The sequence below is a fragment of the Homo sapiens genome, chromosome 5, assembly GCF_000001405.40.
Source record: "Homo sapiens chromosome 5, GRCh38.p14 Primary Assembly".
Taxonomy (NCBI): Eukaryota; Metazoa; Chordata; class Mammalia; order Primates; family Hominidae; genus Homo; species Homo sapiens.
Window position 1 is genome coordinate 25946916 of NC_000005.10, and position 16497 is coordinate 25963412.

General features: G+C 33.2%; 1 annotated feature.

Moving 5' to 3' along the window:
- Nucleotides 1295–1796: an enhancer, noted in NCBI's record as "NANOG hESC enhancer chr5:25948319-25948820 (GRCh37/hg19 assembly coordinates)". NCBI's record gives its function as "activates a minimal SCP1, AML or CMV promoter by ChIP-STARR-seq in naive H9 embryonic stem cells {active_cell/tissue: H9 hESC(naive)}" and the evidence as "EXISTENCE:reporter gene assay evidence [ECO:0000049][PMID:30033119]".

Sequence of the window (16497 nt, forward strand, 5' to 3'; positions counted from 1 at the left end):
AAGTCTCTTGAAAAAAGCTTTTGGAAGGAAAACAGCACGGTAGGTGGCCAAACATTATAGTCTCAAACACGAAACAAAACCTCAAAGTCTCAAGGCTTAGGAAGTGAGAAAGAATAAAAGAAAAAATATTGAACAGAACAATCTGAGTTGTTGTTAGAGTCTCTTAGGAAATCGTATAACAAGATTCAGGAAAAAAAATAAAAACTCCAAAACTGGAGTTAGTGAGAATAAAAAACTGAGAGTAAATTATTGGTATCAGAAAGGGTAGCATGTAAAGTGGGAAAAGCAGAGCCAAGGACAGCAGAGATAACTAAAAAGGTGATCCTTTCTCACCATTAGGAAACCAAACATAAATCTGAAGAAGAAATAGGAGAGAAGCAAACGAGGTGGGAGAAAAAAAGAGTAAGAGGAGGAGGAGACATAGGAGAGGGAGGAGGAGTAGGAAGAGTTTAAAAATAAAATTCTAATGTACAGCATGGAAGTGAAAAACAGGAATAACAGGAAATGTCAATTACTGCTTTCAATAGAAATTTATGAGGTGAGGTTACAAATGGCAAATAATTGTTATTGGTTATGGGGAGTTTGTTTATAAATAAGGTAGAATAGATCATTTATGTCTTACTAATATCTTGTAAATTTGAGTTCCAGTAGTATAAATTGATCTATGTTGAAAACTGTATAACAAATGCATTTAATAGAGAGGCTTACTAATATGTTACATATGTAAGATATATTTCTGATCACTTCTTTTCTGTAATGCAACAATATTTAAAATACACAAGTGTTTTCAGTGTGCGTTAAGAAAATATGAACAAATAAAAGTTGCTAATGAATTTATTTTTTTAATATGGAAATATTAGACACTCATAACTTTTCATTATTACTAAAGGTGCCAATATGCCCTAGTGATTCTAAGTGCAAAGTGCATTATAATATTATTAAAAACAATTAGATCTCTAGAATTTAGAATAAGCAGTAACACATTTGATATTTATTTAAAGAAAGCCAGGGATCAGAGTTATTGCTGTGATCCTTAGCAAGCGGTAAAGGAAATACAAAGACACAATTTTCTATACATGAAATTGCTTGCATTTCAAAGGTTACTATCGATAATTCCAACAGCCATTGCAACAACAAAAATATACCTAGGAAGGTAGTCACAGAAAATTACTTATAGTAGAGCAAAATAGTTTGAAAAAAATCATTTGAATTTCAACATTTAAAACAAATTATTTACATATAAATGCATATGTATACAGTCACATGTCATTTAACAATGGGGATATATTCTGAGGAATGCTTCTTTAGTCAACTTTGTCATTGTTTGTACATATAATAGTGTACTTACACAAACCTAAATGGTATAGCCTCCTGCCTGTGTAGTCCGTATAATATAGTGAATACTGTTGACAATTGTAACGCAACGGTAAGTGTTTGTGTGCTTAAATATAGCTAAACATAGAAAAGGTACAGTAAAAACACAGTTTAAAAGGTAACAAATGGTACTTATTTATAGGGCACTGATCATGAATGAAACCTGAAGGACTGGGAGTTGCTCTGAGTGAGTCAGTAAGTGTTATGCAAATTGTGAAGTCCTAGGATATCACTGTTTACTAGTGTAGACTTTATAAACACGCTACACTTAGGCTACAGAAAATTTATTTTCAAAATTCTTTTTTCAATAATAAATTAACCTTACCTTAGTGTAACTTTTAAATTTACAAATTTTTAAGCTTTTTAAAGTTTTACTTTTTTATAGTAACAGTTTAAAACACAAATTTTACAGCTGTACAGAAATACTATTTTTTATATCTCTATTTTATAATATTTTTGTATTTAATTTTTTAAACTTTCAAATATTTTTTCTGTGTGTGGAAAACTAAGACACACACACATTAATCCAGGCCTACACAGGTCAGAGTCATTAATATAACTGTTTCTACCTCTACATCTTGCCTTACTGGAAAGTCTTGGGGCAATCGGGGTCAGGATCATTAATATAACTGTCTTCCACCTCTACAACATCTTGTGTCACTGGAAAGTCTTCCAGGGCAATAACACATATGGCACTGCCAACTCCTATAATAACAATGCCTTCTGGAATACCTCCTGAAGTACCTGCCTGAGGCTGTTTTACATTTAACATATTATTTTTTAAATGAGTAGAACTACACTGTAAAATAACAATAAAAAGGACGGTATAGTTAATGCATAATCCAGTTACATTGCCTTTTATTATAATTATCAAGTATTATGTACTGTATATAATTGTATGCATGTACAAATCTTACACTTTTATAGGACTGGCAGGGCAGTAGGTTTGTTTTACAATAAACACAAAAGTAATGCCTTGTGTTACAACTTTATGATGACTAAGAGGTCACTAGGAAGTAGAATTATTTTTTGCTTTGTTATAACCTTATGGGATCGCCATTGTGTATGTGGTCTGTTGTTGATTGAAACATTACTATGCAATGCATGACTATAAAATATATGATACATAGATACATATTCACATGTATACAGGCATATATACATATATTTTATAAATATACATATCACATTGCAATACTTATAGGATCTTTGTGGTTAGAATTTGCCACATAAGGTGTTTTTAAAGTTGTAGTTAATCTCTTAATTTTTATTCTTAATCATAAAATGCATTTTTAAAGGTATATCTGAATTTGCAATATAGATTCTGCTTTAAGTAGCATTTCCAGTTGTCCCACACTAATTAGCGTATACAAACTGAAATAACTATAATGTGGATTTCATTAAAGTTACGAGACAATTCAGTAAAGCCATTTCTCTAGGAATTGAATTTCTTTAGCTCCTACCAACCCAATGATGAATCCAAAATTTACATACACATCCAACAATATTTCACAAGCTCCATAACTTCATCCCTGTATCTATTGGGCGTTTCCACTTGGATGGCCCATGAGCACCTAAAATTTTACATTTTCATACTTCGAAGATGCCTATCCCCTATAGTTCATTCCTTAGTGGATGACTCTGCAATCCACCCAGTTATCAACTGGTCTGAAAACATCCTAGTCAGAAAAGAAGACATCTTACATGCCTTCCTCTATTTCTTTTAATTTCTGTATTTCAATGAAGTTGACAATTTTGTCTCACAAATTTCTATTGTATCTACCTATTCCTATCTAAGTCCATGCTAGTACTTTAATTCAGGGCCACATCTTTACTTTCTTGGCTTCTTATCTAGTCTTGTCTCCTCACATTCCATTTTACACTCTCATTAAAATATCTTCTCATTAACATACATATTTAGTTGTGTTATGCCTTTGCTCACAGTTTTGAAATGGTTCATTTTAACTTTGAAAATGCATCAAAGATGACTCCACATCCCTTCATAGTATGCACACAACAAAGTTCTTCTTTAAATTTCTTTGTATACTCGATCACTCTCAAACTTTTGGACTTTGATTTTCATGTTCCCTGCCATTCGACATGTTGTTTCCTTTGCCTTAAACACCTACGTTGGATTTTTCCATTGAGTCTCAATAAAACCATATTCTCTTCTGTAAAGGATTTCTTAATGCTGTTCATGAAGGGCCTGAAAAAATTCCAATTTAATACACATTGTTTCTCTTACAAACTTCCTTTATAGAAAGAGCCAAAATGTATTAGACTTTTCTATAATATTTGTGGGATATGCCCTCAGGCAAAAATGTAGGCGACTCAAATTATTTGAAGCCTGAAGGCTTCTAACTCAATGCCAGTATTGCCAACTATATTGCCTTAATTCCCTCTCCTATGAAGATAATTTTCTTTGGGAAAAAAGAGGCAAATTCATACTTTTTAAAACTTCAAGTGCCTCCTGCCATGAACTCTATGACATTGGTAATGTTATCAAATCATCAGGCATTCAGTCTAGCTCCTGCTGCTCACCACACAGACGGCCAATCACTGAGACAATGAGTATTGACACGGAAGAAGGCGTTAATCAGGTGCTGCAGTTGAGGACATGGCAGATCAGTCTCAAATCCATCTGCCTCACTGACTAAGCTGGGGGTTTATATAGCAGGAAAATAATGCAGCTACCTGCCAGTAAACGGGAATTTGGGAAGAGTAAGGAAATCATGAAGATGTGGGGTCTGGCTTCTCATGGTCTGGATGTGGTGATCTGGTGAGTTTCAGTTCCTTGATATTATCTTGGAGGACTGAGGGTCTGTTTCCTGAGGAAGGAACTTAGATAAGAGAAATGTAAGTTTCAAGCTTTAAGTTTGGGAAGGTCAATTTCTATCTATATTTTAAAAGGCTGTAAACATGAATTCTATGAGACACTTTGTCCAGTTTCAATATTTATATTAATACAGACTGAATTTATTCTAAAGAAGATCTATGTATTTACCAAGCCGTTTACACAGGATGCTTACTAACTTGTTGGGATCTGTGGACCAATTTTTCAGAGATATATTAAATATGTTAATGGCCTCCAATCTTGTTAAAGCCCAATTTATTTTTCCTTCCATTATCTTCTATGTGGCATATAAACAGAGGATCTGGGGCATACAACTTGATTTCAACTTTTTACACTGGTTAATGCCCTTGGCTTATTGTATCTGGTGTACCAACCAAGCACACACTATGGCAGCATCACCATAAATGATACATGCTAAAAAATTGTTTTTCAAATATCAGAAAGGGAATTAGTTACCTTTTAGTAATTAGAGACACAACATTGACTACCCTTATGTTATCCTCAAGGTATCTGTTGTTGTAAGTTGACAGAAACCTAGCCTATCAAAGTTGCTAAATGGTTACTACGTTTTATAAATATCACTGGTAATTCAACCTCCACTTCTACTTAATCCTATAACCCTCAAATATAGCCTTCTCATGCAAGGGAATTATGTTAGCTGAAACATGGCTATGCCTACAATTATTTTCTCAAATAACAGCCTGTAATTCCTTACCTTTACTTTGATCTACCTCTCCAGAACTCACTGTTACATCAACAAAAATAATAAATTAAATATCACAATATGAGATGTCACATATGTCTGTTTATAAGTCAGTTTCCCCAGAAAGTTAATTCAAGCCAATATCAATGACCTTTTTTGAGAGTAAGAATTCTTGGATAGAAAGCTAAAAACTGGACATCCTAGAAGAGAGAATTGGGGGAATTCTAGAACATCAAATATTTGTTAGGTGCAAATAAATTCAAACCCAGATCTCTGTGACTGCAAAGCCTATCTTCCTTGCAATGAATTTCCTAGTACTTGTGCCCAATAGCCCTTAAATAAAATATAGAGCAAGCCTAGGCAGTTACTAAAGCCCAGACTTCTGGATGATGCTCTACCATAATAACTGAGTGCAAGTTGCATCTGAGAATGATCACATTCGAGTGTTCATTCCTGAGTTCATGGGTATGGAAACACTGACACTTTAAAACTGATCTGTTACCACCCAATATACCAAAAGTATGAGGACGCTGTATTAGGTCAAAGAGAGTCCCGGAAGGTGTATAGTATTAAGAGAATCACAGATGATCTTGAAAAGCATTGGGAAAAAGACAGCCACGATGGCTCATGCCTAAAATCCTAGCATTTTGTGAGGCTGAGGTGGAACACTTAAGCCCAGGAATTCAGGACCAGCCCTGGGCAATACAGTAAGATCTTGTCTCTACAATTTTTTTTTTTTTTTTTTACAAATTAGCTGAGCATGTTGGCATGGGCCTGTAGCCCCAGCTACTCATGAAACTGAGCTGGGAGGATCACTTGAACCCTGGAGGCAGAGTCTGCAGTGAACCTACATTACTCCACTTTACTCCAGCCTGGGTGACAGAGCAAGATGCTGTCTCAAAAAAAAAAAAATAATCTTTATAAACTTGGCTGCAAATTCTACCATGCTATTAATTATACATCTCGGAACAAAATAAATCTCAAGCATTCTAAAATTCAGTTACCCAATTTTTTAAGTGAAAAAGTAAGAGCACATAATTTTTTGGACATATTCATCCTTCATTAATATAAATATATGTCAGTCTGAAACATAAAAATGTTTAATTTGAAAAGGAAATAATTGCATTTCCTCTAAATTTACATCTGCGAAGAATGAATCAAAAGCCAGGGTATGGCCTGGCAGAAATGTATTTAATATTCAGTTTTTAAAAAAGTATCATGGACTACAGGTAAAGCAAATTTGACAGACTAAATATCATAGTTTGGAGGATTACAGAAATGTAAAACTGTTGGCATAGACTGTAGCCTGAAAGAAAGAAAAAAAAAAACTAAATGAGGTATGATGTTTTTTAGTTAGAAAAAATAAAATATATTTGAGAGAAAAACAACAACAAAACAGATTAGTGAAATAAGAAAGACTGCCAAATTTTCTGTCAGCCTGCTACAATTCTTTTCTGACCCCACTGCTACAGAAAGTAAATAAATCACTGAGCTTTTTCAACTTAACCTTAAAATTCATTGCAACAAAGTCTTTGGGATTATTACCAGCAGGTCACCATTTGCGCATGGAAGAAAAGATAATTTCCATCCTTAGAACAGATTAAACTCAAGGAAAACTCTCAGCAAGTGTGTCAAATCGATAAAGATATTTTTGGTATTCTACCTTCTTCTCTCTGCTTAGGTAACTCTCTGATTAGTTCTTTTATATCCAGATACATCCTGTTCTAGGACCTACTCAATCTATCTAGGTTTGATATGGAAAAAAATGAGATGCATTTAGAATTAACCTTATTTTTCTCAATGTAATTCATGGAAATTCTAATGTGAATATTTTGGATTACTTAACTAACAACTAGAAAAAGAAAACATGCAATGTATATTAATTTGGGAATACATTTAAGACATAGTGTAATGCATATCTGTTTACCTTCCTTTCATTATAAATCTAGTTTGATAAATTTGTACCAAAACATGACACAATAAAATAAATATCCAAAGATTTTACAAAATAGTCAAGAGAAAAAAATTATTTCCAACTCCCTTGATCCCTGAGGATAATGACCTATTCTGCCTGTATTTACTGCCTTCATAGTTTAGTCTAACTTTAATGTGAATGCAATTTTAAAATTGAAAATTAGTTTCTCTTTCTTATCAGTATGGAAATGAGAAGAAATTCAGGAGAAATTTTGTGCTTCTGTTACGGAGAAGCCATGTTTCACACCTCTGAGTGTGTGTTTTATTTTTCTACAGCTTTTCAGAAAGTATAACTTTTGTGTATTTTTTTTCTCTTTCAGAAACTCAAGATCACCTTGACAATGATTGCTCCATTTGAACCATTTGAGAGAGAACAGCAGAGCAATTTTACCAAGGACTAAATAGTTTCAAATGGGCTGAGATACTGATTCCAGACAGCCAAATGACCATTAAAACAGAGATGGGCGGTTGTGGAATATGAAACTAATTTGAGAAATGTGTATTTTGACATTTTTTATTACACAAGCAGTCATACACACTCTAACATTTCCTTTGAGATATGGGGAAAAGTTATTCTTGCCACAGAAATGAAAGGGCAGTTGAAGAGGGAAACTCATTTATATAGATTTTCAAGTGACTATGATAAAACCAACAATACCAAAATGATATAAGTGGGGGAAACGGTATGTGCAGGAAGCCACTTAGCATCTGACCTTTGCCAGTCTAATCATCTCAGAGACACCAGGAGTCGACACAAAATCAAGTAAACACACAGAGCTGGGAAAAATTAGAAAATGTTAAAAAGCTACATTGCACTTCAAATCAAGTAATAGTATAGTAATATCTTGGTACCTAAAATCATATCTAGGCAAAATATTTAAAATTCTTTTGGATAATTTGAACTTGTTGTGTTAAATAAAGAATAACATTGCTTAGCTATGTAGATTTCAATCTGCAGCAGTTTGGTTGAATATAGTTCCTGATGTAGCACATAGAAACCAAGTAATACACATTTGCATAATTAATAAAATTATATATTTAGTTTAATTTCATATAACATTCTAATAAGGCAATATATTATTACAATTTTATAGCACAGTATTTCATTGTTGGAAGTGAAATCATTTACCTTAACATATATTTTGTATAATGAATCAAGTCATTATTAAAAGAAGGGGTCAAGGGATCTTACAGGTTTTAAACAAGCTGTTGTTAAATACACTGTGAATTAAATTTGCAAGTATCAAGCATTTGTTTGATTATATTCTTGGAACACTATAGCTCAACACAAAAATGGAAAACAAAATGTACAAAACCAAAAAGTAGTACTAGAAGTGCTCCTGCTCTTGAATTTTTATTAGTTTCCTAACTAAATATTCAATTCTAGCGGTATAATTCCAATAGTCTATAGATTCTATATATGGCTGAGAAAACTCATTTGTAAAGTCTTTTTTTGTAGCATAAAAATAACTCTTGGTCCCATTTATCTGTACCTTCCTTTTTTTTTTTTTACAAAAATATGAAGTTGTAGTTGAAATTGTATCTATACAGTTCTTGCCAATTATACTATTATTCACATGCCACTTCAAGAATGTCACCTTACAGTTCTGTGGTTATCATTTGCAAAGTCTGCAATGCCTTTGCCTTAGAGGCTATGCAAATTTTTGTTAGATATAAGCCTTCTCATTTCTGATTTCAGGAAGTCAACATAACCCATCTGCTGCTTTCACTTCCCAGCTGTATGCAACTATGCCAAATTGCTCTAAGTTGAGCTTTATACTGTTTTCGTAGGCTATCTTTTACCCACCGTGCTTACATTTTCCTTGTGTAATTCACCCTAGACACAGGTGCAGATGGCATGTAGAGAAGAGCAATGCATTTGGGAACATGTAATATTTGGCTTGCAAGGGCTTTGACAGAACTTCGAATTATAGTTCTAAAAAGTGAATTAATTTAGTGAAGGGATGGGCACTGGTGCATCAAAATGGATACAGCTCTCAAAATGATGCCTGATTCAAATTCTGTTTCCATGTTTCTTGAAGAAGTCACTTAGTTTTGTTGCTTCCTTTTTAAACATTCCCAAAATAAAATCTTGTAACTTTTCAGTAACTTTCCAAGGATGTGCTTTACAAACAAATCTATATAGAGAAATTATTGATAGACCAATAGGATTTGTGTTTATTAGCAGTGTGCTATTATTAGCAGTGTAATTATAATATAGCCTTCTGACTGACATTAAGTGTACTAAATAGGCTTATGTTCCACAAGACATTAGAAGTAAGAATTGAGCAGGTAGGCAAGTCGTTATCAACAAGACCATTATAATGTCTAACTCCTCTGAAATAATCAAAAATAAAAAACATATTGCAAGGAAGTTATAACCTCATAATTGCCCATGAAAAGGCAATTATGGACACCATCATTTTGTTAACCCAGATTTGTGTATGGAAGCCATTAAAACTGCTTTCACTGCTAAAGATAATTTGTATTCCTTAGCAGTTTGGACTACACTGATAATATTTGGGGCTGGCAGGTTATTATTCTTCTTTACATGTTAACTTATTTTGTTATATTTATAAAGAAAAACAGTGAGATGAGAAAGATGAGGAAATATACCTTAATGAGCAGTGGCAGAAAGAGTAAGTCATTCAAACTTTCAAACTCATGCTCATTTTAATATAGTCACTGTGTAGAGTGACTATAGATAATAAAAATCATGGAATAAATGTACTGCTATGCATGTTTATAAAGTATCTATTTGTAGATGATATTAGAACCCAAGAATATAGGCATTTGTGGCAGAAACAATGACCAAACACAAAAAATGTGTTGCTATTAGAAGTGTCAGCATATTTCATGGTCTGATCTGAATGTCCAGTTTTGTGTATAAAGGACACTTTTTACTAAGTGTAGCTTTTAATCTTGAACTGACATGATACATTCATCACAATTTAGTGTCAAGAGAGATACCATCATATCTGCTTCTTGGTGCCAGAGACTTCAAGATGAAAAAAAAAAAGCACAAGTTTATCTGTAAGGATGTCAAATGTTTCTTAGGATTTTGACTTACTTGTCAGTTTACAACTTTTCCAAATGTCCTAGATATGCTTTAAATTAAATGTTAGGAAGAAAGGACAGCTCATAACTTGCATAAGTTTAAGAGAGAGGACAAACTGCACTTTCTCCTTCCTAATTCCTTGCCACCCAAATCAGGATACAATGGAATCATGAAAGATATTGATTCAATTTTTTCACTTTAAGAAAAGTAATTTCAAAGATACTCTCTATACAAATACATTTCTGATACAAGTCTGTGAATAATAATGGATATGAAGTGACACAGAACAATGAAAGCGTGCTCCTCAAAATAGATATGTAAATTTAACATTAAAAGTCTCACATTTTTAAAGGCCCATTTTCTTTCAAAGAATATAGAATGAGATTTAACACAGTATTAACTAGTCAAAAGTTATTCTTTCTAATTTCAAAAAAAAATTTAAGTCTTGGCATTACTTTAATCAAATATGCATAAATATGTATATGTTAAATAAGTCAAAAAACACTCAAAGTCAGAACAAACAACATACGGCAATTTCTGATTGCTTTGAAGATGGGAGAAAATTATGCCATATTTATTTTAAAGACTATTTTATTACACTCTATGCTATGCTAGTCATGGAACATATTTTCTGTAGAATGATTTTATTGCATAAAATCTTAATATTCCCTGATTTCTCAGCTAATTTCTTTTGGCCTGAATTAGTTCTGCAATTACTTACTCATGTAAGAAGGATGTGCATGAGCCTATGGGATTTTTTCATTCTATTATAGAAAAGCAGAGGTGTATATACATATGTTAGATAGATAATTATTTATTTTCATAATTATTTATTGAGAGCCTAATATGAGTTGTGTGCTTGCTTTCAAAGAGTTTTATGTTTACTGACACGCAGTTCCAGTTCTAGTTACATGTAGTACATGGATAGTTAGTGTCAGTTGGTTTTTCAATCAATCCATCCAGTTGCTTATAGAAGAATTGGAAATGCTGCAAAATAGGCCATTGTTAACATTCCATAGATATGGGTAATAAGTGGGACACACATACCCCATGAAACAAGACCGTAGTGAGGGGAAGAAGCTATTCTATCTTTCTTTAGGGAATGAGGGATTATCTGTATATCCGATAAGATTAAAATGGGAAAAAAAGACAATCTCTTCTTTATTACTAGACAAACATACTGAACAATTACATGCAACTTTAGGGTAAGATAATATCTTAACTAATTCATGTATCTATGGCTTCTCCAGAATCCTCCCTGCCCCAATCCAAGAGTAATGTTTTAAACAACACAAATCTGTAACATCTTCACTCTAACTATTCATCAGCTTCCCAAAGTGCTTGAGATAAAGTCTCTGAGCCCTTGTTTACCAGCAAAGAGTCATCTGTGAGGAATTTTCTTTGCCTTCTGGCTTGCCTTCTCCAATTCCATGTACCATTTCTTCACCATTGCCAGACACCCAAAGTAGAGTGTTTCTATGTTATTTTCATCATTTTCACTTATTTACTTCCTACTTTCCCTTAAATCTCACCACAAGTATTACCTTTAAGGGAAACCTTCCAAAATCAGTACACCACTTTTGTTTAGTTCCTGTTATAATTAATTATAATTTTAACATAATATGCTATTTTGATTGATGCCTTACTCTAACACTAGAAGCTCCAGAGGACAAAATTTTGTCTATTTTTAGTCACTCATATATACCATCATATTTCCCATTGGTTGGTAGTCAATAGCTAATAGAAACCAAAATAATATTTAGTGAGGGGCTGTACCTCAGTGTATACAAGCAGAGGAGAACATTAGCGAAATGAATATTGAAGTAGAATTTTGGGCAAGATTTGATCAATTTAATACTTAGATACACTTTATAATTGTCTCTGCTGTAGGAGTTGTCTACTTAAAATGTATATTTGGTGGTTTACCAAGTAATGTTCCTGTACATTATTTTATCTGGTCCTCTTAGTTGCTATAATAAGTAAACAGTGGCTGATTATCACACACACAGATATTAAGGTGTCATCTACATACTTGTCAGATGTCCAGAGTATGGGAAATTGCACTCCTCATCTTTTTGAATCAAAGTTATATCATATATCACAATGTACAACTGTATTTTACTGAAATAAATGTCTGAGAGTAAGATACTTTTTTACCTTTAGGTTTTGTTTTTATCTCATTGCTTCAACTACTATTGGAAAATATGAGCAATTAATAAAGTTCTCTGTTTTTATTTTTGGGTTTTGAATATGAATTAAAATGAAAACTCCTTTCCTTACTAACTTTACTAGTTTGAAAAAGAAAAGCTAAGGAGTTAGTTATTTTAGCAGAATGAAAATAGTAAAGGAAATAGAGGAAATTGTGTTCTTAGGTTCAGGCCTTACATGTTTGAAGCCAGTGTGTAGTACACAACAGAAACTAACAGGATTATCATTGATTCTTCCTCAGTATTAAATTTAATGTTCTGTTTTTATTTGGTTTTACCAAGCATTGAACAGTCTTAGAGCTGTAACTAAAGTTACATATTTTCTTTTTCCATTTCAGAGGCTCATTGTAACGCTTTTTTTTTGAAATCAGAAAAAATATATTTTTTACCCAAATTTGCAACTGAAAATATTTTGTTTTATTCATTTCTTTGATAATGTTAGTGTCTAGTAGATGCAAGACAAGGAAAATAGCTCATGTCTTTATATTATGAAAATAATTATCAATTTCCCATTTTTAGCTTTGTTGCCAACCTATTGTCTTAGGCAAGATTTTGTGCCATTCATTTTACCAATCTATAAGTTTGACATAATATTGTCTATTTTACTTTAGAGTTAGAAACATGCTAGAGGAGATATCAGTATTAACAGATAATTCTATAATAAGTTTGAAAATATAGGATAACCTTTATATATTTCTAACTCACTTTATTTTCACCTAATTATTCCATCTGTCAATGCAGAGTTCTTCATTTATGACCTTTGATGTTCAAATTTACTTTTCTTGAATTCCATTTTTGTGTAACTTCCAGTTATAATATTTTTGAAACGAAATTCCTCTAAGAAAAACCAGCTTATTATCAAACTAAAACAAGAGCAAAAATGTAAATTTTGCTTTTATAGCATTTGTGAAAATGCCTAGAACAGACATTATCATCCATAGTTTGGTAAGTCTTTAGAAGCTGAAAAGTTTAACAATTAATGCATTGTCTGAAATAATGTAGAAGGATTCTCGTGTTTTAGAGCAATAGTCAAAATACTTTATTATGCATAAACTGTTTACAATTCCACCACCAAAACACCAAAGGGAACTCAAAGTTATAAATAAGCACACAGATAATCAAATTATAACTTCTATATGGAGTGCTAAACAAGTCATAGGGTTAGAAAGTTGGGAGCTTTGTTATAAGAACCTCTGTTCAAGATTGTGAGGTTTCCAAAATGATGATTTTCTTAATTGACTAAAATTTTAAAAAGAAGAATAAAAAACTTCAGAAGTAATTTGAAAAGAACTAATAGAATAGGAGAGTGTAGCAGGTGACATGTCTCAACCATTTTCAATGTTCAGAAGATGTATAGAAACTGGAGCACTTCTATTTAGGAGACATTTTATCAAAAATTTAAAATAAATAATAAATAAATAAAATAAATAGATGTTCCCAAAAGAAGATATGAAAAAAAGAAAAACAGTAATATGCAGCATAGAGTGACAAAGAAATGGAAAATATGGAAGGAATACCAAGATATATGAAGGATAAAAGAAGAAAGTTTAACATAGTTCTATTTATAGTTCCAGAAAAAGTTAATAGAGAAAAATGTTGGAGAGGCAGCATAGAAAGGTATATTGATTAAATGTTTTCCAGAAATGTTTAAAGTCACAAATTATACATACATACATATACATATATATATATATATATATATATATATATTTTTTTTTTTTTTTTTTTTTTTGAGATGGAATCTCACTCTGTTGCCAGGCTGGAATGAAGTGGCATGATCTTGGCTCACTGGAACCTCTGCCTCCCGAGTTCAAGCGATTCTCCTGCCTCAGCCTCCCAAGTGACTGGGACTACAGGCACTAGCCACCATGCCCAGCTAATTTTTGTATTTTTTTTTTGGTAGAGATGGGGTTTCACCATGTTGGCCAGGATAGTCTTGATCTTCTGACCTAGTGATCTCCCCACCTCAGCCTCCCAAAGTTCTGGGATTAGAGGTATGAGCCACCACACCCGGCCTAAAGTCATAAATTCTTAAATGAAAAAGAATGAATTCCAGGAAGAAATAAATAGATTCTCATTTGTTCAGATCATAGTGAAGTTGCAAAGCAGCAAATGCAATGAAAATGTGTTAAAAGTAGCTGTGGGAGCAGTGTGGAAAGAAAGTATGTATAAATAGTGATGATTAGATATAAACTACTGGGTAGCCCAAACAGGAAAAAAAAATTAATTAAAACAAAAAAAAGAAATTAAAAAGAATATAAAAATAAAATGAAAGGATCAAAAAAGCATATAAATAATTTTTCAAAAATTCTAAGACTAAAAAGAAATTTAAAAATTAGAACTGAAGTACTTTTACAGTATTTCCTTCTCTGCTCAAAGGAGAAATAATATTAGGGAAGAAAAAAAGAAGTAGGCCATAAAAGCAGCATGTATTTAAAAAGTATTAAAAAAGTAAGACAATATGATCAATATAACGACAGCATATTTGATAATTTACATTTAAAGAAAGAAAAATATAACAAGAAAATAAACTCCAGTATAAATGTAAAAACAGCAATCCAATCAAATACATTAATGTTAAAAAATTGTTTTACCTACCAAATAGAAAATTCAGTCCTACAGATGAGTTATATCACATACTTCAAGGAAGGAAATTCCAACAATACCTTAATTCTTTCAAAAAATACAAAAAGTGAAAGTACTCAATATTTGCAGTGAGTCTAGTCTCCCCATGATATTAAAATAAAACAAGGACCATAATAGAAATAAACACTATTGATATGGTCAATAAATTTCATGCTGAAATGTCATCCCCAGCGTTGGAGGCTTCCCAGTGTTGATGATGTGATCTCCAATGTTGCAGGTCCTAATATTGGTCCTGGTGGGAGGTCTCTGGGTCATGGGGAAGGATGCCTCATAAATGGCTATTACAATGAGGATTATAGTAATGAGTTACCATGAGACCCAATTGTTTAAAAGTGTCTGGGACCTCCCTGTCTCTCACCACATGATGCGCCTTCTCTTCCTCCTCCTTCTGCCATGATCATAAGCTTCCTGATGCCTCCCCAGATGTCAAGGATATGTTTGTGCTATGCTTGTACAGTTTGTAGAAATGTGAGTCAAAATAAAACTCTTTTCTATATAAATTATCCAACCTCAGGTATTCCTTCATAGCAATGCAGAATGGATGAATACAACTGTAGTCAAGATTTATTATAAAATACATGCAAAAATCTCAAAGGGAATAGAAATATATATAAAACATATTTTAAACATACTAAGGATAGTACACACATACACGTACATGTGAAAGTCATCGGAATTAAAATGGAGCCATGTGTTTTAAAAACTCTGACAAGTAGATCCAGGGAAGACCATGAAAGTACGGTTCTTATGCACAAATGCCTGATAACAAGAACTATTACAAAAGACTCTGCAAAATACATAGTCTTGCACAAAAGCCACCAGTGATATTGGTGGGTTAGGGGAGGACCCCAAATGCCGGTAAGACCTCGACCCCAGCTGGTGTCCAGGCTCTTGACACAATTTTAAGAAAGAATTAAAAAATGAGTCATAAAATAGTGAAAGTACAGAGATTTATTACAAAGTGAAAAACACGCTGAAGAAAGAATGTGAGCATACTTAAGAGAGAGTTGTGTCAAAGGGGATTTGGGGTTTCTATCTTTAGGGTTTTTTTGTTTTTGTTTTTGTTTTTGTTTTTGTTTTTGTTTTTGTTTTTCTGATACAGAGTCTCATGCTGTTGCCCAGGCTGGAGTGCAATGGCGCAATCTTGGTTCACTACAACCTCTGCCTCTCAGATTCAAGTGATTCTCCTGCCTCAGCCTCGGGAGTAGCTGGGATTGCAGGTGCCTGCCACCACGCCCAGCTAATTTTTTGTATTTTTTAGTAGAGACGGGGTTTCACCATCTTGGCCAGGCTGGTCTTGAATTCCCGACCTCAGGGAACCCACCTGCCTCAGCCTCCCAAAGTGCTGGGACTACAGGCATGAACCACCGTGCCCGTTTCTTTATGGGTTTCTTTCTTTCTTTTTTTTTTTAATCAAAGGGTGGAATATTCATGAAGATTCCTGGAAAAAGGTAAAGATTTCTTGAAACTGTAGTACTACTTATTTTTACACCAAATATAGGTGTCCTGGAAACTGTCAGGCTGCTGGTGGGTATGTGATTTAGTTTGTTCATTAGTGTATAATGAGGTCCTAGGTGAAACCTAGGTCAAATCCAGTGCCATGTTGAGTCCAGTCAGCCTTAGCCAGGTTGGTGCACACCCTGGTTTTTCACGCTTTTATCAGTCCCTAGTTGCTGCAGCT